Here is a 19466-nt window from a genome sequence, read left to right as displayed (position 1 = left end):
GGGCCACGGATGGAGCTTGCCATGGGAAGCACTGGGAAGTAATGGGGTGTGGGGTGCCACCAGACCAACACCCCCAGACTTCCCCACCTTCAGCCACCATCAGAGCCTCTCCCCAGGTGCCCCCCGGGGATTCAGGGCTGAATCTGCCCAGTTCCCACACTCAGGCCAGCCCTCTTGGGAAGGTGGGTCCTCCATGGGGGTCCCTTCAGGAACTTTTTTTTTTTTTTTAATACAGAGTCTCACTCTGTCACCTAGGTTGGAGTGCAGTGGTGTGATGTCGGCTCACTGCAACCTCTGCCTCCCGGGTTCAAACGATTCTCCTGCCCCAGCCACTCTAGTAGCTGGAACTGCAGGTGTGCACCACCACGCCGGGCTAGTTTTTGTATTTTAAGTAGAGACGGCATTTCACCATATTGGTCAGGCTGGTCTCGAACTCCTGACCCCAAGTGTTCCGCCCGCCTCTGCCTCCCATAGTGCTAGAATTACAGGCCTGAGCTACTGCGCTTGGCCCCTTGCGGTACTTTTGGCCCAACCTCCTCCATGGCTGGGGACGCGGAGGCCGAGAGAGAAGTCACTTGCCCTGGCTCTACCTTGAAGTGGTTCTCAGGGTTGGGGCGAGAGTCGGGGTGGGGACCGAGATGCAGCTCTATCCTGTGCCCCTGGTCGCAGCAGGCAGCCCAGCGCTTCGCGTGTTCTACTTGGCCTGTCCGCTGCCGCCTAATGAGCTCAGGTCTAGGCCGAGCAGAGGGGGCACCTGGTCGGACTCGGTTGGGCTCGGGCGGCCCCGCCTCCCCCCGCCCGCCAGGCGGGCCCTTCTCGACGGCGCGGGGCGGGCCCTGCGGGCGCGGGGCTGAAGGCGGAACCACGACGGGCAGAGAGCACGGAGCCGGGAAGCCCCTGGGCGCCCGTCGGAGGGCTATGGAGCAGCGGCCGCGGGGCTGCGCGGCGGTGGCGGCGGTGAGTTGAGACGCAGGAGGCTAGGGGCAGCTTTGAGCCCTGTCCCAAGAGCCTCGGTGAAGGAAGGGGCCCCGGGCGCGTCTCCACTCCAAGCCTCACTGGGGGCTGGGTTGGCCGCCCTTTCCGATCTCGTTAAAGGCTCCTCCAGGGCGTAGCCCTTCCACTGAGAGGAAACCCCTCCCAGGAGGGTCTGGGGGCCCCAGGCAGAGCATTATCAGTGTCCCTCCCCCAACAGAAAGCATGGGTGGGGGTGGGGGCGCTGCTGGATTCCTGCTCTGGTGGAGGGGAAACTTGTGAGGGGCTGGTAAGCGCCCCCTCCGAAGCCTGGTGTGTGCGCGGGGGGAAGGAAGTTAGTTTCCTCTCCACCCATGGGCACCCCTTCTGCCCGGGGCCTGGGAAGTGGGCTGCTCTGTGGGCAAATGCTGGGGCCTCTGAAATGGAGGAGACGCAGCAGGGAGAGGCCCCACGTGGGCAGCTGCGCTGAGAGTCAGCAGCACCTGTCCCCCAGGCGCTCCTCCTGGTGCTGCTGGGGGCCCGGGCCCAGGGCGGCACTCGTAGCCCCAGGTGTGACTGTGCCGGTGACTTCCACAAGAAGATTGGTCTGTTTTGTTGCAGAGGCTGCCCAGCGGGTAAGTGGCCACAGGGGTGGGAGAGGCATGGGGCAGGCAGGGCTGGAGAGGTGGCGGGCAGGCCCGGGAGGTAAGAGGAGGCTGGCAGGGGAGGTAGGGGTAGGCTGACAGAGAAGTAGGGAGCTGGAGAGAAAGAGGGAGGGAGGGCAGGGTGGGAAGCAGGTCGGGGGTTGCTGGGCAGCCCCTCTGCCTGCCTGACCCCTGCCTGGTTCCACAGGGCACTACCTGAAGGCCCCTTGCACGGAGCCCTGCGGCAACTCCACCTGCCTTGTGTGTCCCCAAGACACCTTCTTGGCCTGGGAGAACCACCATAATTCTGAATGTGCCCGCTGCCAGGCCTGTGATGAGCAGGGTGAGGGGCTTCTCAGTGCTTGGCAGGGAGTTCCTAAGGACAGGCCTTTCTGAAGGAAGTGGCTGGCTCGGGCCCAAACTTGGGGTGTGAGGGTCCTGCACCCACCCTTGCCAGAACCCTCCACCCTGATCCTCCTTCAGGGTGCCCTTGCCCCTTCTCTCTTCCTGGTGACCTTCCCATCTCTCCATGTGCCTTGGCCTCTGGTCGGCCTTAATCTCTGAGCTTCTCTCTTTTTTAGGGTAGCCCTGTACCTGTCTGTCTTTCGCCTATTTCTGTCTCCATTATCTTGGGATAATGCCTCTGCCTCTCCATGGGAGCCTTTGGCCCTGACTAACTCTCCACTCCCCATCTCCCTGCACCCCCACCAGCCTCCCAGGTGGCGCTGGAGAACTGTTCAGCAGTGGCCGACACCCGCTGTGGCTGTAAGCCAGGCTGGTTTGTGGAGTGCCAGGTCAGCCAATGTGTCAGCAGTTCACCCTTCTACTGCCAACCATGCCTAGACTGCGGGGCCCTGCACCGCCACACACGGCTACTCTGTGAGTACCCCCACCCAGGGCTCTCTACTCCCAGACCCCCTTCTCCCTGCCTGACCCACTCCTGTCCCATGGTGACGCATGCCTCTCCTGGATTGCAGGTTCCCGCAGAGATACTGACTGTGGGACCTGCCTGCCTGGCTTCTATGAACATGGCGATGGCTGCGTGTCCTGCCCCACGTAATTCCTAGCTGTCGTGGGATGGAGGGAAGGGCGGCTGGGAGCAGAGCAGGGGCCTGGGGTGGGGCAGGTGCTGCTGGTTCAGGAATAGGAAGAGGGGATAGGGAGGAGGGAGCCTTGGCCCTGTGATGGGTGGGCCCCACTTCAGGCAAACTTAGATGGCAAAAGAGCAATCTGGATCCGCCTTAGCCAGATACATAAGGGTATTTGCCTTCACTTTCAGCCAGCATTCCCCCCAGCGATCCTAGCCAGATATTACAGATGATTTGTCACTTACACAGAGAGTCACATTGATATAGCTTTAAAACTTGGGCTGAAGGAGGTTGAGGCTGCAGTGAGCTATGATCGTGCCACTGCACTTCAGCCTGGGCAACAGAGCGAGACCTATTAAATAAATAAATAAATATTAAATCTATTAAATATTAAATATTAAATCTATTAAATAAATAAATACAAAGGGCTGAGAGTCAGGACTGTGCTGCTAGTTCTCTAGGGGATCTTGGGCAAGTGCAGAGAATTCGCGTCTCTGATGTGTGGTGTCCCTTTCTCAACATGGGATGTTAGCAGCTAATTCACAGGCCTTTGATCAGAGGTAAGGGACTTTCTGTAGCTATTCAAGTCTTTTTTTTTTTTTTTTTTTTTTTTTTTTGAGATGGAGACTTGCTCTGTCACCCAGGCTGGAGTGCAGTGGCACGATCTTGGCTCACTACAACCTCTGCTGCCTGGGTTCAAGTGATTCTCCTGCCTCAGCCTCCCAAGTAGCTGGGACTACAGGAGCCCACCACCACCCCCGGCTAATTTTTTGTATTTTTAGTAGAGACGGGGTTTCACCGTGTTAGCCAAGATGGTCTTGATCACCTGACCTCGTGATCCACCCGCCTTGGCCTCCCAAAGTGCTGGGATTACAGGCATGAGCCACCGCGCCCGGCCTCCATTCAAGTCTTTATTGAATATCTGCTATGTTCTACACACTGTTCTAGGTGCTGGGGATGCAACAGGGGACAAAATAGGCAAAATCCCTGTCCTTTTGGGGTTGACATTCTAGTGACTCTTCATGTAGTCTAGAAGAAGCTCAGTGAATAGTGTCTGTGGTTGTTACCAGGGACACAATGACAGGAACATTCTTGGGTAGAGTGAGAGGCCTGGGGAGGGAAGGGTCTCTAGGATGGAGCAGATGCTGGGCAGTCTTAGGGAGCCCCTCCTGGCATGCACCCCCTCATCCCTCAGGCCACCCCCGTCCCTTGCAGGAGCACCCTGGGGAGCTGTCCAGAGCGCTGTGCCGCTGTCTGTGGCTGGAGGCAGAGTAGGTGGTGTGCTGGGAATGCGAGTGGGAGAACTGGGATGGACCGAGGGGAGGCGGGTGAGGAGGGGGGCAACCACCCAACACCCACCAGCTGCTTTCAGTGTTCTGGGTCCAGGTGCTCCTGGCTGGCCTTGTGGTCCCCCTCCTGCTTGGGGCCACCCTGACCTACACATACCGCCACTGCTGGCCTCACAAGCCCCTGGTTACTGGTAAGTACACACACCCACACACGCACCCAGAAGCCTGGGGTCAGGATGGGTAGCCCAGAGTCTACTCAACCCTGATACAGAAGGGGAAACTGAGGCAGGGAGTGTGGGGTGCAGAGGAACCCTAGAGGAGCTGTACCAGCACCCAGGTCCAGGAGGCTTGCCTGGTGGCTGACCGCAATCTCTCTGTGTCTGTCAGCAGATGAAGCTGGGATGGAGGCTCTGACCCCACCACCGGTAAGAACCTCACTGTGTGATTCTGGGCTGCCTTCTGGAGCTGGAAGATCAAGCCTTACTATGATCCCTGGAGCTTGGCACGCGGCCAGCACCGGGTAGCCCTAGTGGACAGAGGTGTTGGGAGCAGAGTCATCAGTGGATGAGACCAGCACAGTGCCTGCCCTCAAGGGGTGCTCAGTCAGCTGGAGTTCAGATTCGTACACAGGAGCTAACAGTTCAATGGAAGGAGAGCCCCATGGTGCTGGGGGACAAGAGGAAGGAGGCGGGGGCAGGGGACTCAAGGCAGAAGCAAGAGTTCTGCTGGGCTACAGTGAGAGCAGGGCCAACTGTGGGAGGTGTCATTGCGGGGGTGTCTGCTGACTGAACCAGGGACTGTCCCCTCCTGGAGAGGCACTGCGGGTAAGGGGCCTTACTTGGCAAGCAGGGCTGACCTGGGGCCCCTCTTGGCTTCCAGGCCACCCATCTGTCACCCTTGGACAGCGCCCACACCCTTCTAGCACCTCCTGACAGCAGTGAGAAGATCTGCACCGTCCAGTTGGTGGGTAACAGCTGGACCCCTGGCTACCCCGAGACCCAGGAGGCGCTCTGCCCGCAGGTGACATGGTCCTGGGACCAGTTGCCCAGCAGAGCTCTTGGTAAGGGACATCAGTGGCCTGAGGCCTTGACCCCATTCTCCTGTCTGCGGTGGGAAGTTGTGGTTTCACAACGTGTTCCCTTTCTGCCCCCTAACTGACGGAGTCCGCCCTATGCCCTGACCCACCGGATCCAGCGGGCTTCAGCCCTGGGGTACCCGCACGAACGCCCCTGACTCTGCCTCCCGACCGCGGCCCACGTACCCCAATTGGCTCTCTCTGGCCCTGCCCCAGGCCCCGCTGCTGCGCCCACACTCTCGCCAGAGTCCCCAGCCGGCTCGCCAGCCATGATGCTGCAGCCGGGCCCGCAGCTCTACGACGTGATGGACGCGGTCCCAGCGCGGCGCTGGAAGGAGTTCGTGCGCACGCTGGGGCTGCGCGAGGCAGAGATCGAAGCCGTGGAGGTGGAGATCGGCCGCTTCCGAGACCAGCAGTACGAGATGCTCAAGCGCTGGCGCCAGCAGCAGCCCGCGGGCCTCGGAGCCGTTTACGCGGCCCTGGAGCGCATGGGGCTGGACGGCTGCGTGGAAGACTTGCGCAGCCGCCTGCAGCGCGGCCCGTGACACGGCGCCCACTTGCCACCTAGGCGCTCTGGTGGCCCTTGCAGAAGCCCTAAGTACGGTTACTTATGCGTGTAGACATTTTATGTCACTTATTAAGCCGCTGGCACGGCCCTGCGTAGCAGCACCAGCCGGCCCCACCCCTGCTCGCCCCTATCGCTCCAGCCAAGGCGAAGAAGCACGAACGAATGTCGAGAGGGGGTGAAGACATTTCTCAACTTCTCGGCCGGAGTTTGGCTGAGATCGCGGTATTAAATCTGTGAAAGAAAACAAAACAAAACAAAAACGGCTTCTTGGCGTTTCTGCGGGGCTGGGGTGTTAAGTGGACTGGACTTTTCTCGAGGGATTCGAAGGGGACGGGAATCTTGTCACCCCGGGATCTGGCACCCATGGTGGAGTCCAGTGTGGCCTTAGCTCCCAAGCCTGCCCCTCCCGAGTCCACTCTGGCTCAATTACCCCGAGAAGGAGAGAGCAAGTCGCGGCCACAGCGAGTGAGTGAACCGGAGCCCAGATGAGAGCGCTTTAATGGGGCTGCGAGGTGGCGGAGACAGGGTCGGGATGGGGTGCAGCAGTTGGAGACACAGGGTCAGGGCCCCTCATCCTCTATTCACTCCACCGGGGCAGTGAAAGGGTCCCGGCAGCGAGTGGGTCTGGCTGGGGACGGGGCGCAGACTTGAGGGAGGTGGGGCCAGAGGTGGGGTCCCGGGGGCCACAAGTGCGGCCCGGCCAGACAGGCAGTTTTCATGTTTCTGGTAAACAAATGACTGAGAGGAAACCCTTGGCGGGGATAAGAAATGAGGCCCGGGCTAGGCCGCGCGCAGATCTGGGTCAGAGAGGAAGGGAAAACCCCTTCCCCGAGCTCGGGGCCTGCCTCCACCCAGGATGCGCCAGCGACGCCGGTTCCGGGGTGCGGGGGAGGGGGCTGCATCCTGGAGGGGGCTGAGCCCCGCAGGAAAACAAAGTCACCACCCACGGGGCTGGGGAGAGCTCTGCACTCTTTGATAGTCAACGAACATGCAAATATATGTAAGTCGGCATGCAAATAAGCAGCATTTGTTGTTGTTTGCGTCAGCAGCTTGGGCACTTTTTCTGGGCAACCGTGGCGGCGTGTGCACTCCAGTGTTGCCAAGGGCTGGGGATACGGGGGGCCAGGGTGGGGGTCAGGGAGGGTTTCCAGCGCAGGAGGGGAGGGCTGTGCGGCTCCCAGCCTTTCCACCAGGGCCTGGCTGGCTGGGGCTGGGGCGGAGGGCCCCACGGAGCTGCGAGGCTGCGGACAGGAGTCTGCGGCCTCTAGTACTTAGCGATGTCCCCCTTCTTCAGGATGACCTGTCGCTGCCAGGGCGCCAGCTTGCTCTCATCGTAGCCCAGCGTCCGCAGCTTCTCTGACTGTTCCTTCTCCCGCCGCAGCTCCTCCTGCTTCTGTCGCTCCTCCTCTTTCCTGAGGCAGTGGGGAGGGGGGCAGACCCGGTGAAGTCTGGGGCCAGATACCCAGGCTGGCAGAAAGGGTGGGGCCAGGCACCAGGCAGAGGCCAGGTCACCCATGCAAGGGGTGGGTTACTGAGGGCTGGGGCTCGGTTGCTGAAGACAGAGGGGCTAGATTGGGGGCAGAATGGGGTTACTGGAGCACAGGGGAGCTGGGTGAGTGGGAGGTTAAGGCTGGATTATTGTGGGCTGGGGTTTTACTGGAAACAGAGGTGCTGGGTCACTGTGTGGCACCATGTGAGGAGGTGGTATTGCTGGGTGCAGCAGCAAGATTACTGGGACCAGGACTTGAGTTGTGGGGGAGCTGTCAATATGAAGTATTGAGGACTGGGGTGGGGCTGCTGGGGAGCAGAGAGACCATATAATTGAGAGAGGGACTGAGAATTAGAGACAAGTTATTAGAACATAGAGGGTAGATCTGCCTGTTGACAGAGTAGTCACTAAGCACATGTGGCTGCTGAACATTTGAAATGTGGCTGGTCTAAATTGTGATGGATTGCAGGTGTAAAATGTGCATGATATTTCAAAGACTAAGTTTTATTATTATTTGAGTCAGGGTCTCGCTCTGTTGCCAGGGTGGAGCGCAGTGGTGAGATCATGGCTCACTGCAGCCTCGACCTCCTGGGCTCACGTAATCCTCCCACCTCAGCCTCCCAAGTAGCTGGAACCACAGATGTGTGCCACTACGCCCAGCTATTTTTTTTTTTTTTAATTGAGACAGAGTCTCGCTCTGTCACCCAGGCTGGAGTGCAGTGGCACGATCTCGGCTCACTGCAACCTCCACCTCCCAGTTTCAAGTGATTTTCCTGCCTCAGCCTTCTGAGTAGCTGGGATTACAGGAGCGTGCCACCATGCCCAGCTAATTTTTGTATTTTTAGTAGAGACGGGGTTTCACCATGTTGGTCAGGCTGGTCTTGAACTCCTGACCTCAGGTGATCATTCTGCCTCCGCCTCCCAAAGTGCTGGGATTACAGGCGTGAGCCACCGAGCCCAGCCCGCCCAGCTAATTTTTTTTTTTTTTTGAAATGGAGTCTCACTCTGTTGCCCAGGCTAGAGTACAAAACGGCGTGATCCTGGCTCACTGCAACCTCCGCCTTCCAGATTCAAGTGATTCTGCTGCCTCAGCCTCCCGAGTAGCTGGGATTACAGGCATGCGCCATCACGACCACCTAATTTTTATATTTTTAGTAGAGACAGGGTTTCACCATGTTGGCCAGGCTGGTCTTGAACTCCTGACCTCAGGTGATCCACCCGCTTCAGCCTCCCAAAGTGCTGGGATTACAGGTATGAGCCACTGCGCCCAGCCCCCTGCAGCTAATTAAAAAAAATTTTTTTTGCAGGCCTGGTGCGAAGGCTTACGCCTGTGATCCCAGCACTTTGGGAGGCTGAGGCGGGTGGATCACCTGAGGTCAGGAGTTCGAGACCAGCCTGACCAACATGGCAAAACCCGGCCTCTACTAAAAATACAAAAATTAGCCGGGCGTGGTGGCGGGCGCCTGTAATCCCAACTACCAGGGAGGCTGAGGCAGGAGAATCACTTGAACCCAGGAGGTAGAGGTTGCAGTGAGCCAAGATTGTGCCACTGTACTCCAGCCTGGACAACAAGAGCAAAACTCTGTCTCAAAAAAAAAGAAAAAAGCCAGACTTGGTGGCTCATGCCTATAATCCCAGCACTTTGGGAGGCCGAGGCGGGTGGATCGCTTCAGGTCAGGAGTTTGAGACCAGCTTGGCCAACATGGTGAAACCCCATCTCTACTAAAAATACAAAATTAGCTGGGTGTGGTGGCACACGCTTGTAATCCCAGCTACTTGGGAGGCTGAGGCAGGAGAATCACTTGAACCCAGGAGGCAGAGGTTGCATGAGCCCAGATCGCCACTGCACTCCAGATTGGGTGACAAGAGTGAAACCCCATCTCAAAAAAAAATTTTTTTTTTTTTTTTTTTTTCGCAGAATGAGGTCTCACTGCATTGCCCAGGCTGGTCTCAGACTTCTGGGCTCAAGTGGTCCCCCTGCCTTGGCCTCTCAAAGTGCTGGGATTACATGTGTAAACCACCATGCCTGGCCAAAGACTTACTTTTACAAGAGGAGTATAAAACATCTCATTAATAATTTTCATAATTGATTATGTGTTGAAATAATATTTTTGATATTTTGTGCCAAATAAAACAGTACTAAAATGAAGCTCACCTATATCCTTCTACATTTTCACTGTGGCTACTAGAAAATTTTAAATTACATCTGTGGCTCTCATTACATTTCTATTGGCCAGCACTGGGCTGGGTGAGATGACTAGGGGCAGAAAGTACATTCTGAGGGCCAGACAATCAAGGTGATTGATAGTGGGGTTAGGTTAACTGAAGGGTAGAAAAGGCCAGGTTAATAGGAGGCAGGGACTGAGTAACCGGGAACAAAGTTATTAGAGCATGAGAGAGAGATTCTGGGGTATTATAGGGAGGAAGGAGGCTGTGCTACAAGGGCCAAGAGACAGGAGGATGTACTCAAATTGGCCTGGATGAAGGGACGACCCTCTGCGACTTGGGTGGGGATAAGGGTGGCAGGTTGGGGCCAGCCCTGCACTCACCGCTTCTGCTCCCTGGAAGGAAAAAGAGACAGTGTCACTTGGTACCTCCACCTCAGGGACGCAGTCAAGACACCCTGCCAGGCCAGCCTCTGCCTGACCCCCAGCTCACCTCTCTTCTTCCAGCTTCTTCCGCAGGAGGTCCCGCCTCCAGGCGGGCATGCTGGCCAGCCGGGCCTCCTCCTCCTCCTCCTGAAACACAACCACAAAGCTTCAGGGCCTGCAGGGGCTGGGAGATAGGGGGCACCCTCAACCTCGGGACCTGAAGGAGTCAGGGTCACAGGAAGACATCCTTTTGATGCACATCTGTGTGACAAGTGGATGGAGGTGCCTGGTCACACCCCCTCAGAGCTGGCCTCCTTTCCCCTAGTAACCCAGACCCTCATGTCCTACAGGAGGCACCAGAGAGATCAGAGCTGAATGGGACAGAAGCAGAGAACAAGTAGCTGGGACCCAGAGGTCCTGAGCCTGATTCCCCGCAGAGGCAGGTGGCCAATGGCCACAGGCCCAAGACCTCTGGGCAGACGCAGATGCCAGCCAGCCCCCACCCAGCCTCTTGGCTCAGGGAGACTCAGGCTGCCCCTGGCTCCCCTGTGAAGGACCTTCACCCCATGGTTGCCATCTTCCCAATAGAGTGGATACGGGCACTACAATCGTGGGGCTACAATGACATCAGGGGCAGGTGTGGTGTCCAACGCAGGCAGTTTACAGCAAAGAGTTTTATTTCCTGAATGTTACAGAGGAGAACGGGTCTGTACACGGCACACTTCACACAGAACACTGCACACGTGGCACCCTTGACCTCAGCCAAGGAGGTAGCTGTGAACTCCAGTGGAAAACCAAAGAGCAGGCCACACTGCCGCAAGGAGGAGCCGCAGCCCCTCACTCAGAGGGGCTTCTTCTGCTGCCTGGCTCCACACAGAGCTCAGCAAGGCCACGGGGCCAGAGGCGGACACCTGGTCTGTTCTGTGCCTGCCCTGCCTATCCGACCAACGCCCCACAGCCCGCCACGATGGGACCTCAGAGGCTGAGGCAGCCTGGTCCTGGGCCCTCCGGGCTGCTCAAGGCCACAGTCCTGGGCTCTTCCTGCTGCTTCCAGCCTCTGGAGGGCGTCAGACAGGCGTCCAGGCCCACGTTAAGACGCTCGAGGGTGAACTGAGAATTCCGAATTCCGCTGCTCAGATGTCAAACAGCTCTGCCTCCTTCTCTTTCCAGAAGGAGAAGCTGCGGTCGATGTAGCGGCAGATGTCCTCGTTGCTGAACTCGCCCATCTCAGACACCAGTTCCAAGGGGTCTTCGGCGGGGGCTTCGGAACCAGGAGAGTCTGAGGTCGGGGGAGGCGCGGCGGGCGGGGGCGGCGGCGGCGGCTGCGGCGCAGGGGCCAGGGCCTCGGGCTGCCCCTCAGGCGGGTCCCCCGTCTGAAATGGAGCAGCCTCTTCGGTCCGCTCCTGTTCTTTCCCCTCCTCTTCCTTTTCCTTCGCCTGTTCTTCGGGGGCCGGCTCAGCCTCCAGGCCGTTTCCGAAGAACCGGTGCCTGAGGTCCTCGAAGCCGTCGCTCCAGCCGCGCCGGCCGGCCTCCACCTCCTCCAGCACCACGCGGTGGAAGAGGCGGATGCGCTCCCACGGGTGGCTGCCCAGTCGGTCGAACATCTCGTAGCACAGTAGGTGGCGGAACTTGCGCTCCTCGCGGCTCAGGCCCATCTCGAGTAGCTGGAAGTAGCCGAGCATGAAGAGGTCGAGCGTGAGGCTGTCGTAGTGCGGGGGTGCGCCGCCGTCCAGGGGCGGCAGGAAGTGCTGGGGCCAATACAGGCCGTGCGCCAGGCCCGGGCTTGCCGGCACGCGACGCAGCAGGCTCCGCCAGTGGCCCAGCAGCTTGCCCACCGCCTGCCGCTGCCTCAGCAGCTGCCGCAGCCGTTCGTCGGGGCTGTGGGCCTCGCTGTTGCTCGCCGGCAGCCGGGGGGCGTCCGTGGCCTCCAGCCCCGGGCCAGCACCGGCAGCCGCCACGCGGGGCAGCAGTCCGCGTAGGCGCGCCTGGGCGCGGCGGCCTGGTCCGCGGCAGGCCCAGCGGCGCCAGTGCTCCAGGAAGAGGTAAACGATGCGCTCCTTGCGCAGGTCGAGGTAGTCCTGGACGCCGCGCAGCTTCGTGCAGAGGGGCGGCCGGCGCGCCAGCTGCTCGGGCTCAGGCAGCGCCGCCTGGCGATCCTGTACCTCGGGCGGGCCCAGGGTGCCCAGGGGCTCCCAGTCGACCAGCGGGCCGTGGGCGGCGGCGGCGCTGGGCTGGCCAGAGCGGGCCGCCACGTAGTCCTCCTCCAAGATGGGCTCCCGGCCCGGGGCGCCAGCGGACTGCGGGGGCTTGCGGCGCGGACAGCGCGCGGGCGCCGCGCCCCGTGCGCGCAGCTCGTAGGTGGCGCGGAGATGCTGCACGGAGACGCCGCACTCGAGGATCTCGCGCGCCACAGCCTCGCGGCACCAGCTGAGCGAGTGCGAGCGACCCAGGCAGAGCGGCCCGGGCAGCCAGGGCGCGTCGGGCAGCGGCGCCAGCGGCTGGCCCGTGTCAGCGGTCAGCAGCTCCGCCAGGTGCGCAGGCCGGCCGCCCAGCGCAGCCAGCAGCGTGGCCATGTTCTTGAGCAACGTGGAGATCTTGCTGCACCAGGCGGGCAGGCTGGCGGCGCGGCCATGCATTCGGCGCGGATCGACGGTGAAGCGCGGCGCCGACAGGGCGGCCGAGATGGGCAGCAGCTGCTCCAGCTCCAGCTCCAGTTGCTCGAGGCGCGCCTCCAGCTTCTGCGCCTTGTGCAGCACCTGCAGGTTCTCGATTTGCTGCTCGATGCGGAGGATGTCGGCTTCGGTCATAAGCTCGCCAAAGGGCCCGAGGATGGCGTTGTGCTCGCGGGAGTACCTCCAGCCCTCGCGGGGGTAGCAGCACGAGCTGGCGGCCGTCAGCTAAGGCGGGGAAGACAAGAGAGGGGAGGGAGGCGCGTCTCCCTCTGGCCTAGCTCCCGCCGTGGCGCCGGGAGCCTTTTGCATGTCCCGGGTGGTGTAATGGCTCCGCGGGGCTGCGTCTGCAGGGAGGGACCGCGTCTGGCCGGCGGGGGGTGACGCTGGGGTGAGGCTTCGGCCTGAGCCGCCGCTCCAGGCTCTGGGCAGTGTCCACTTTGGTCGGTGGCGTGGGGCACGGCCGGTCGCTGGTCGCTGCTGCGGCGGCAAGAACAGGCCAGCAGACGGGGTCTCCATGCCTGGCTTGTTCGCTCATTACACCACCCAAGGAACTTGCGAAAGGCGTTGAAGCTGAGAGGCGCGGTGGCCCTCCCCAACCCATCCGAGGGCGGCTATTGAGGCCTCTCCTCCCAGACTCATGACCCCTTCTCCAGCTCCCCTGTGGCCCAAGCCTTCCCGCTCCCTGTGCTCAATGTTTTCTGTGCAGAATCAGAGGCCACTCCGCTCTTAAAGAGGCTGCAGCTGCAGCTTCCACTGAGCTGCCCACCCTTCCCCTCCCTTCGTCCTGCTGGACAGCTGGGCACCGTAATATTCTCATTTGCTCACTTTTCTCCACCTCTGATGTCCAGTTTTCCCCCTGGGCCTGCCATCGCCTCCACAGAGGTCCCTGATTCATCTTGACCCTATGCGATCCACTCCCCACATACAAATAGGAAGCAGCCTCTTCCCTGCTTAACACTCCCCGCACCCGGCTCCCCAGTGCTCCAGGAGAAAGTCCGTTCTCTTCTGGGCCTCTGGCCAGGTCTTGGTAACCTGGCCCCCACTGAGGTCTCTCCAGCTCAGCGACCCCCTTCCTCCAGGACAGTCAGGGCCACATCCACTCTCACTTCCAGACTGCTCTGTCTCACCTGCGGCTCTTCAGCCCACTCTCCTCCTGGCCACCCCTCACTCGTCTTCCAAGTGTCACCTTAGACATCACCTCCTCCTTCCCTAACACGCCCCCCAGCCCACGTATAAGGTGGCCGGTTAGGGCTGCCCCAGTCCCCTGCGTTCCCCATTGCAGCTGGCTGTGTTGCATCAGCCCAGGTACTTCTCTCCACTGCCACCCACTCTCTCACACTGCCCCATTTTGTGTGCTTGGTGACTCGCACACATGTCCGCAGCCACCTTAGAGCAGGCCTTGATATGTTCACCATGAATCTCCAGAGGCTACAACAGTGTGTGGGGCACATAAATGGCACTCGGGGGCCAGGCGTGGTGGCTCACGCCTGTAATCCCAGCACTTTGGGAGGCCGAGGCAGGCGGATCACTTGAGGCCAGGAGTTCGAGACCGGCCTGGCCAACATGGTGAAACCCCATCTCTACTAAGAATACAAAAATTAGCAGGGCATTGTTGGCGGGCATTTGTAGTCCCAGCTACTCGGGAGGCTGAGGCGGGAGAATCGCTTGAACCCAGGAGGTGGAGGTTGCAGTGAGTCGAGATCGCACCACTGTACTCCAGCCTCAGTAACAGAGTGAGACCCTGTCTCAAAAAATAAAAAATAAAAATAAATGGCATTTGGGGAATAGTTGTTGGATGAATAAAAGGCAACTCATCCTGCCAGCTGGTGCTGATCAGCCCACCTTACAGAGAAGGAAACTGAGGCTGGATGAGGCTCAGTATCGGCAGCTGGAAGGCGGCAGCACAGCAATGGAGCCCAGGTCCCTAAGACTGAGACCAAAGCCCTCTTGGCTACTCAGTGTGGTCCTTGGACCAGCAGCATCAGCAGCCTCACCCAGGAGCTGGCTAGAAATGCGAGCCTCAGCCCCGCCCAGACCTCCTAAATCCGAACAGGCCTTTTAACCAGATCCCAGGTGCTGGGCCGGTGAAGGAGAGTCTGAGAAAGGCTGCTGTCTCACTTCCAAGGACAAGCTGGTGGGGGTGTGTGTGGAGACTGGGACAAGCCCCAAACAGGGTTGTACCACCCTGCTTTCCCTAAAGAAAATGGCCGGGCACGGTGGTTCATGCCTGTAATCCCAGCTCTGGCCAACATAGTGAAACCCCGTCTCTAATAAAAATACAAAAAAATTAGCTGGGCGTGGTGGCAGGCGCCTGTAATCCCAGCTACCTGGGAGGCTGAGGCAGGAGAATCATTTGAACCTGGGAGGCGAAGGTTGCAGTGAGTCGAGATCGCACCACTGCACTCCAGCCTGGGCGACAGAGCAAGACTCTGTCTCAAGAAAAGAAAAAAAAAAAAGAAAGAAAATGGGAGGTCCCGAGGTTGGGGTTGGGGGTGGCGTGGGGGATGGGCTGTGCATCCAGATGCAGACCCCAGGGCTCCCTGGGCACCCCGCCCCACCCACCTTCCGCCTCTGCTCCTCCTCCTCCTGCATCTTCAGCTGCATCTTGCGCACCATCACCTGGCGCTTCCACTCGGGGATGGGCCGGCCCTGCTCATCGTGCGTGGGGATGAGAGCCTCCACGTCCAGCTGCACTCCCGGCGCAGGAGTAGTGGGCGGCACGGGAACCAAGCTTCCATTGAGCAGCGGCTGAAACCCCGCAGCTGGCGGTGTGGGGCTCCGGACTGGTGACAGTGCAGGTGACACAGAAGGCAGCGGCGAATCGGGCTGCAGGGAGAAGCGGTGGGGCTGAGCGCCCGGTGGCCTAGGGCCAGGGAAGCCGGGTCGCAGGCTCCTGCTGGGCCCGCCTACCTGGAAGGCCGGCTGCCCGATGCCTGAGAACACTGTGGTCAGCCCCTTGCTCTGGGGCGTCGGCTTCAGGCTCTTGCCTGCCTTAATCTCAGCCAGTAGCTCCGAGTTGTCGCCCGTCGGGGACATCATGTTGAAAGACTTGGTGCCTATGCGGAGGCAGGAGATGAGGCACTGGCCAGGGTGGGGCTGCATCCCCGCCACCCCTCACCCGCCCCTCTGCAGCCCCTTTCCTAAGCCAAGATTGGATGGGTGCCCATCCTCCGGGCCAGCGGGCAGCTCTCCAGATCCCAGGTCCTGCAGGCAGGTTTCAGGGCCCCCAGAGGCGGGCCCTTGGTTCCCTGACTGTGGCAACCCCACCATCTTCCCCACCCTACTCACGGGATGGAGGGCCCCTGCCTGGAGGCCCCTGGGAGTTCATGGTGGCTCTTGGGCATATGTCCCCGCCCAGCCACTGACTGCCCAGCTCCAAAACACTACCTGGAATCAGCCACCTGACCTTTGTCCCAGGTTCCCTGGCTCAGCCCGGCTGGGGTGGAGCCTCCCTCTGGCCCTCTCCCTACATCAGCAAAGCCTCAGTGACCCTTGAACTGAGTCAATTGGGGCCTCCATGGACATAAAGTCCGGACCCCAGAGTGCCAGTACCCACCTGGTCCCCTCCCTCCCCACCACACCCACAGACAGATGCACAAGCAGACACATTGGTTGCAAGCCGGGAGCACCTTTATGGCAAAGCATGGCTCAGCTCTAGGGGCCCAGGAAAGCAGAGCCCTTACTAAGGCTACGGGAGGCACCCAGGAGGAAGGGCAGGCGGATAATATGGAAACACCCAGGGCAGAGTGTGCATTTTCCAGCTTAGCCAGAGGAGGCAAATGGAGATTTGGAGAGAGAGGTCTCTTGAGCCCCGATGAAGGGGTCAGGTCTGGGAGGGAGGAATAAAATGGGCCGACAGCTCTTGGATTCCCAGGCTGGGGATCCCAGAATGCAGTCACAGCGGGTGGGGGTGGTGGGGGAGAAGAGTAGGAGAAAGGGAAAATCGGTGTGGCTGGCTCATTTATTTAGGCAAAACCATCAGCCAGGTGCAGAATGCTTGGGTGCATATGTGGGTATGAGGGTAGGTATGAGGTGCAAGGCCCCACCCATTCTTCGAGGTTCTCTCGCCTGCCAGCCCCTGCCCCTGCCCTTTCCTCAAGTCTGGGCCCCTTCTGCCTTGCTTTTCCTGCCTCTTCCCCCCACCCCGCGCCTCAGCCTCAGCCAGGAGCCGCGCACGCAGCTACTCACTCTTCCTGTGCCTCAGGACTCTCACTTCTAGGGACCAAGAGGAGAGAAGTGACAGCGGAGTTAGGAGGGAGGGGGGGCAGGATGAGACTGGGACAGCAGGGGACAGGGAGCGGGCCAGGGAGAGCGGGCGGGGGGGAAGTGGAGAAGAGAGGAGGAGCTTTTCTGCCCATCTGACCCTGGCTCAGGCTGCTCTGGGGCCCCATGAGGGTGGTCCATCGAGTTCCTGGCTTGGCTGGTGCCCCTGAGGGCTGGGCAGGGCCACCACTGGCTCTAGCCCCTAGCAAGGGCCTCCACCTTGGCACTGGGTTGGGGTAGGGCACCCAGCCCTGGCTGTGCTGGGTGAGGGTGTCTCGGGAAGCCCAGAGTATGTTTTTCTCTGCCCTTAGCTTCAGCCCTGCTGCAGGCTGTGGAGGGAAGAAGGAGGTTCGGCAGGTGCTGGACTTGCTTACATGGGCTCTGGTCTGCAGGGGCTGGGGCTCCATAGGAACCGTAGGGGGACTAGCTCTGCTCTGCACTTCTAGTCAGGGAGATGAAGCTTTGAGGGGTGCCACTAAGCATGATCTCTGCCCTGAGTGGCTGGGTGAGGAAGACACCCCAGCCAGGCTGGGATGGGAGCACCACATCTAGGCACTCTGTCCTGGGCCTTCTAGGTGTCCTGGCAGGGGGACACTGTCCCACCCTACAGAAAAGCAGCCCAGGAATCCTGCACCAGTCTAGCTCTTAAAAAAGGTTGCCTAGGGAAGTCACCGGGGAGGGAGGGGGAAACACGGTGGGTCACAGCTTTGCCCCCATAGCCACGCCTTGGCTGGCCCAGGGCCCCTGGCAGAAACTGGCTAGGAAGAGTTCCTGGCATATCTAAGAAGACTTCAGGTCTGTGCTGCTTGGAAGGACAAGAGAAAGACGTGGAGAGAGGAAGAGAGGCTCAGGATAGACGGGCAGGGGGAAGGGTGGCTAGCTGCGGGGCCTCTCTGAAGCTGGTTCTACTTCGAGTGTCCCTCCAGTACCAGCTCATCAGAAACACCAGCACCAGCTCATGGGAAACACCAGCGCCAGAGCTGGGAGGCCCTTTCTAGCTGGTGGGAGGAGGCCCAGAGAGGGGAGGGGACTTGCCCAGGCCACACAGCTAGGGGGTGGGAGGCAGGCCCAGATTGGGGAAGGGACTTGCCCCAGGCCGTGCAGCCCGGTCGTGCTTTGGCAGGACCTCAAGCAACCCAGAGCCCTCTCTTAGGGTCAAGTACTCAATGGGGTAGGGGTGGCCGGAAGACCATGTAGAAGAGGAAGGACCCGGGCAGTGACAGCTGGGGAGGGGGCGGTGTCTAGATTTCCCTCCCCTTTCAGGGCTAGCGCCGCCCCACGCCCCTCAACCTGCCCCTACTCACTGCCGGTGGACGAGGAGGAGCGGCGCTGCCCGCAGCCAGGGCCAGCGCTCTCGAGGGGCAGAGGCGGGGCCGGCGGTGGCGAACTCGCGGCCTCCGGCAGGGGCGGCGGCGGCGGTGGGGGCGGCGGTGGCAGCTCCCTGGACGCCTTGGGGTCCGCGGCGCAGCCGTTAGGAACATGGTTCCCAGGAAGCAGCGCCGCCTGCGGGGGAGCGGAGGGGCCTTCGAGTGAGCCGCGGGCGGCAGGGCCGAGGCGCGGGCAGCCGGCGCGCGCGGGCTGGCGGGCACGCACCTCCTCGCTGTGCGCCATGCCCGGGCGTGCGGCCAGCGTCTCGCCGGGGCAGCGGCCCAGCTGCCGGTAGTAGTCCCCCGTGCTGGGCTGCTTGCTGAAGGCGCGGGGCTTGCGGCTGGAGTCCTGCCTCCGCAGCCCGTCGTGGCCGTCACAGGAGCTCAGCTGCGGGAAGACAGTGACCGGTGGGGCTCGGGCACCTGCCCGGTAGGCGCCCCCCACGCCTCCCCACCCAGCTCTTCACCTCCTGGGGACTCGCGGCCAGCGGCCGTCGAGGGGTGCAGCAGCTGACTTCCTAGACCCCCTGGTTCTCACAGTGGGCAGCGGGCGAGGGTCATGGGGGCCTCGGTGGAAGGGCAGGCTCCGCCCGCCTTACAGGGAGGGGTTCTGGGCACCGGCCAAGGGGCACAGGGGCCCCCACTGAGGCCAGAAGAGGCGGGCCCAGGGGCGGGGTGGCCCAGCCCCGACGCCAGGGGGAGCTGGCGAAGGGGCACCTCCCAGCTTAGCCCTCACTAGGCCCTCGGCCGCACTCCGCTCTCGGCTGTCAGAAGGACTGCGGGTCCCCAGGGCTCCGCGGAGCCCTGTCTTTCGGGGGTCCGGGGCCGGAGGGAGCCCCCTCCAGAGCCTGTGCTCTCGGAGGCTCCGGCTTGCCACGGACCCCGGTTGCCCGTCCGGGGGCTGCTCCTACCTGCCACGGTGCTGGTGGCCCCCGCTGTGCACCTGGCTGTGGGGGCGGCAGGACCCGACACCTGCGTTACCTGATACTTCCTCTCAGGTTACAGCCACCCGCGCACAGCCAGCCTATGGGCTCCGACGGCCTGACATCACCCGGGGCCCGCCAATCCCAGGCTGAACCCCCCCAGCCGTCGCGGATGCCACAGGGGGCGCCAACTACTTTGCCACACCTGGCCGCGGCTCTGCACCCGTCCCCGGCCAGATGTGACCCCGCCCCCTGCGCCTCTCCCTAAGCTGGGAGCTGAGCCCCCACCTTCATCCCCGCCCGAGAGGGGAGAGGGCTGACTGTGGGCAGAGGAGGCCTCTCATATTTGGCCCCCGGCTCCGGGTCGCGTCCCCACCCTTCCCCTCCTGCATCTGGAAACCATCGCCATCCACGAAAGCGACACCGACACCCGCGCTCAAGCCTCGGATTTCAGGGGCCGTAAGGCGGGGTCGGGTGACAGCGTGGCTTCCCACCCCATCGCAGCTGCCCCCAACTAGGCCCAGCTCAGTGAGGGAGAGTGAGGCG

General features: G+C 61.2%; 2 protein-coding genes across 18 annotated transcripts in view, besides 6 other annotated features; one reads left to right on the top strand and one right to left on the bottom strand.

The window, feature by feature from the left end:
• Window positions 84-1032: an enhancer, noted in NCBI's record as "H3K4me1 hESC enhancer chr1:6526054-6527002 (GRCh37/hg19 assembly coordinates)". NCBI's record gives its function as "activates a minimal SCP1, AML or CMV promoter by ChIP-STARR-seq in naive and primed H9 embryonic stem cells {active_cell/tissue: H9 hESC(naive and primed)}" and the evidence as "EXISTENCE:reporter gene assay evidence [ECO:0000049][PMID:30033119]".
• TNFRSF25 (TNF receptor superfamily member 25) lies at window positions 853-6240 on the top strand. Of its 6 annotated transcripts, none has more exons than NM_003790.3 (10): window positions 853-957; window positions 1466-1586; window positions 1804-1938; window positions 2307-2474; window positions 2573-2651; window positions 3899-3954; window positions 4056-4163; window positions 4360-4397; window positions 4852-5032; window positions 5264-6240. In NM_003790.3, exons 1-10 carry the CDS (start codon window positions 919-921, stop codon window positions 5590-5592), a joined length of 1254 nt encoding a protein of 417 aa, NP_003781.1. In that variant the 5' UTR covers window positions 853-918; the 3' UTR covers window positions 5593-6240. The 6 variants fall into 6 exon arrangements, with proteins under 6 accessions (NP_003781.1, NP_683866.1, NP_683868.1 ...); NM_148965.2 differs by having other exon boundaries at window positions 3879-3961; NM_148967.2 differs by lacking the exon at window positions 1804-1938.
• The window catches only part of ESPN (espin), a 36595-nt gene continuing 22784 nt past the window's right edge, over window positions 5656-19466 (bottom strand). For 2 of the 12 annotated variants that reach the window (XM_011542231.1, XM_011542233.3), the window contains 6 exons: window positions 18224-18385; window positions 17935-18133; window positions 16556-16582; window positions 15278-15423; window positions 14930-15193; window positions 10355-12592 (listed from right to left, as the gene is read on the bottom strand). In XM_011542231.1, the coding sequence (XP_011540533.1) occupies window positions 10829-12592; window positions 14930-15193; window positions 15278-15423; window positions 16556-16582; window positions 17935-18133; window positions 18224-18385 (2562 nt within the window). In that variant the 3' untranslated portion in view covers window positions 10355-10828. Of the gene's footprint in view, window positions 5847-6081; window positions 7028-9653; window positions 9666-9762; window positions 9843-10354; window positions 12593-14929; window positions 15194-15277; window positions 15424-15655; window positions 15735-16555; window positions 16583-17934; window positions 18386-18464; window positions 18557-18908; window positions 18999-19466 lie in introns of those variants that run through there. The other 10 variants (XM_017002433.2, NM_001367474.1, NM_001367473.1 and 7 more) reach the window with 10 other exon arrangements.
• Window positions 6599-6658: a silencer, noted in NCBI's record as "silent region_157". NCBI's record gives its function as "represses an Ori minimal core promoter by ATAC-STARR-seq in GM12878 lymphoblastoid cells {active_cell/tissue: GM12878}" and the evidence as "EXISTENCE:reporter gene assay evidence [ECO:0000049][PMID:35858748]".
• Window positions 7980-8186: a silencer, noted in NCBI's record as "fragment chr1:6518900-6519106 (GRCh37/hg19 assembly coordinates)". NCBI's record gives its function as "represses an EF-1alpha promoter that drives an FKBP-Casp9 reporter gene in an ReSE screen in K562 erythroleukemia cells {active_cell/tissue: K562}" and the evidence as "EXISTENCE:reporter gene assay evidence [ECO:0000049][PMID:32094911]".
• Window positions 13157-14114: an enhancer, noted in NCBI's record as "H3K27ac-H3K4me1 hESC enhancer chr1:6512972-6513929 (GRCh37/hg19 assembly coordinates)". NCBI's record gives its function as "activates a minimal SCP1, AML or CMV promoter by ChIP-STARR-seq in primed H9 embryonic stem cells {active_cell/tissue: H9 hESC(primed)}" and the evidence as "EXISTENCE:reporter gene assay evidence [ECO:0000049][PMID:30033119]".
• Window positions 16836-17709: an enhancer, noted in NCBI's record as "H3K4me1 hESC enhancer chr1:6509377-6510250 (GRCh37/hg19 assembly coordinates)". NCBI's record gives its function as "activates a minimal SCP1, AML or CMV promoter by ChIP-STARR-seq in naive H9 embryonic stem cells {active_cell/tissue: H9 hESC(naive)}" and the evidence as "EXISTENCE:reporter gene assay evidence [ECO:0000049][PMID:30033119]".
• Window positions 18584-19458: an enhancer, noted in NCBI's record as "H3K4me1 hESC enhancer chr1:6507628-6508502 (GRCh37/hg19 assembly coordinates)". NCBI's record gives its function as "activates a minimal SCP1, AML or CMV promoter by ChIP-STARR-seq in naive and primed H9 embryonic stem cells {active_cell/tissue: H9 hESC(naive and primed)}" and the evidence as "EXISTENCE:reporter gene assay evidence [ECO:0000049][PMID:30033119]".

This window comes from Homo sapiens, chromosome 1 (genome assembly GCF_000001405.40).
Source record: "Homo sapiens chromosome 1, GRCh38.p14 Primary Assembly".
Lineage (NCBI taxonomy): Eukaryota > Metazoa > Chordata > Mammalia > Primates > Hominidae > Homo > Homo sapiens.
The sequence above is the reverse complement of the archived record's forward strand: the minus strand, read 5'-3'. Positions and strand labels throughout refer to the sequence as shown.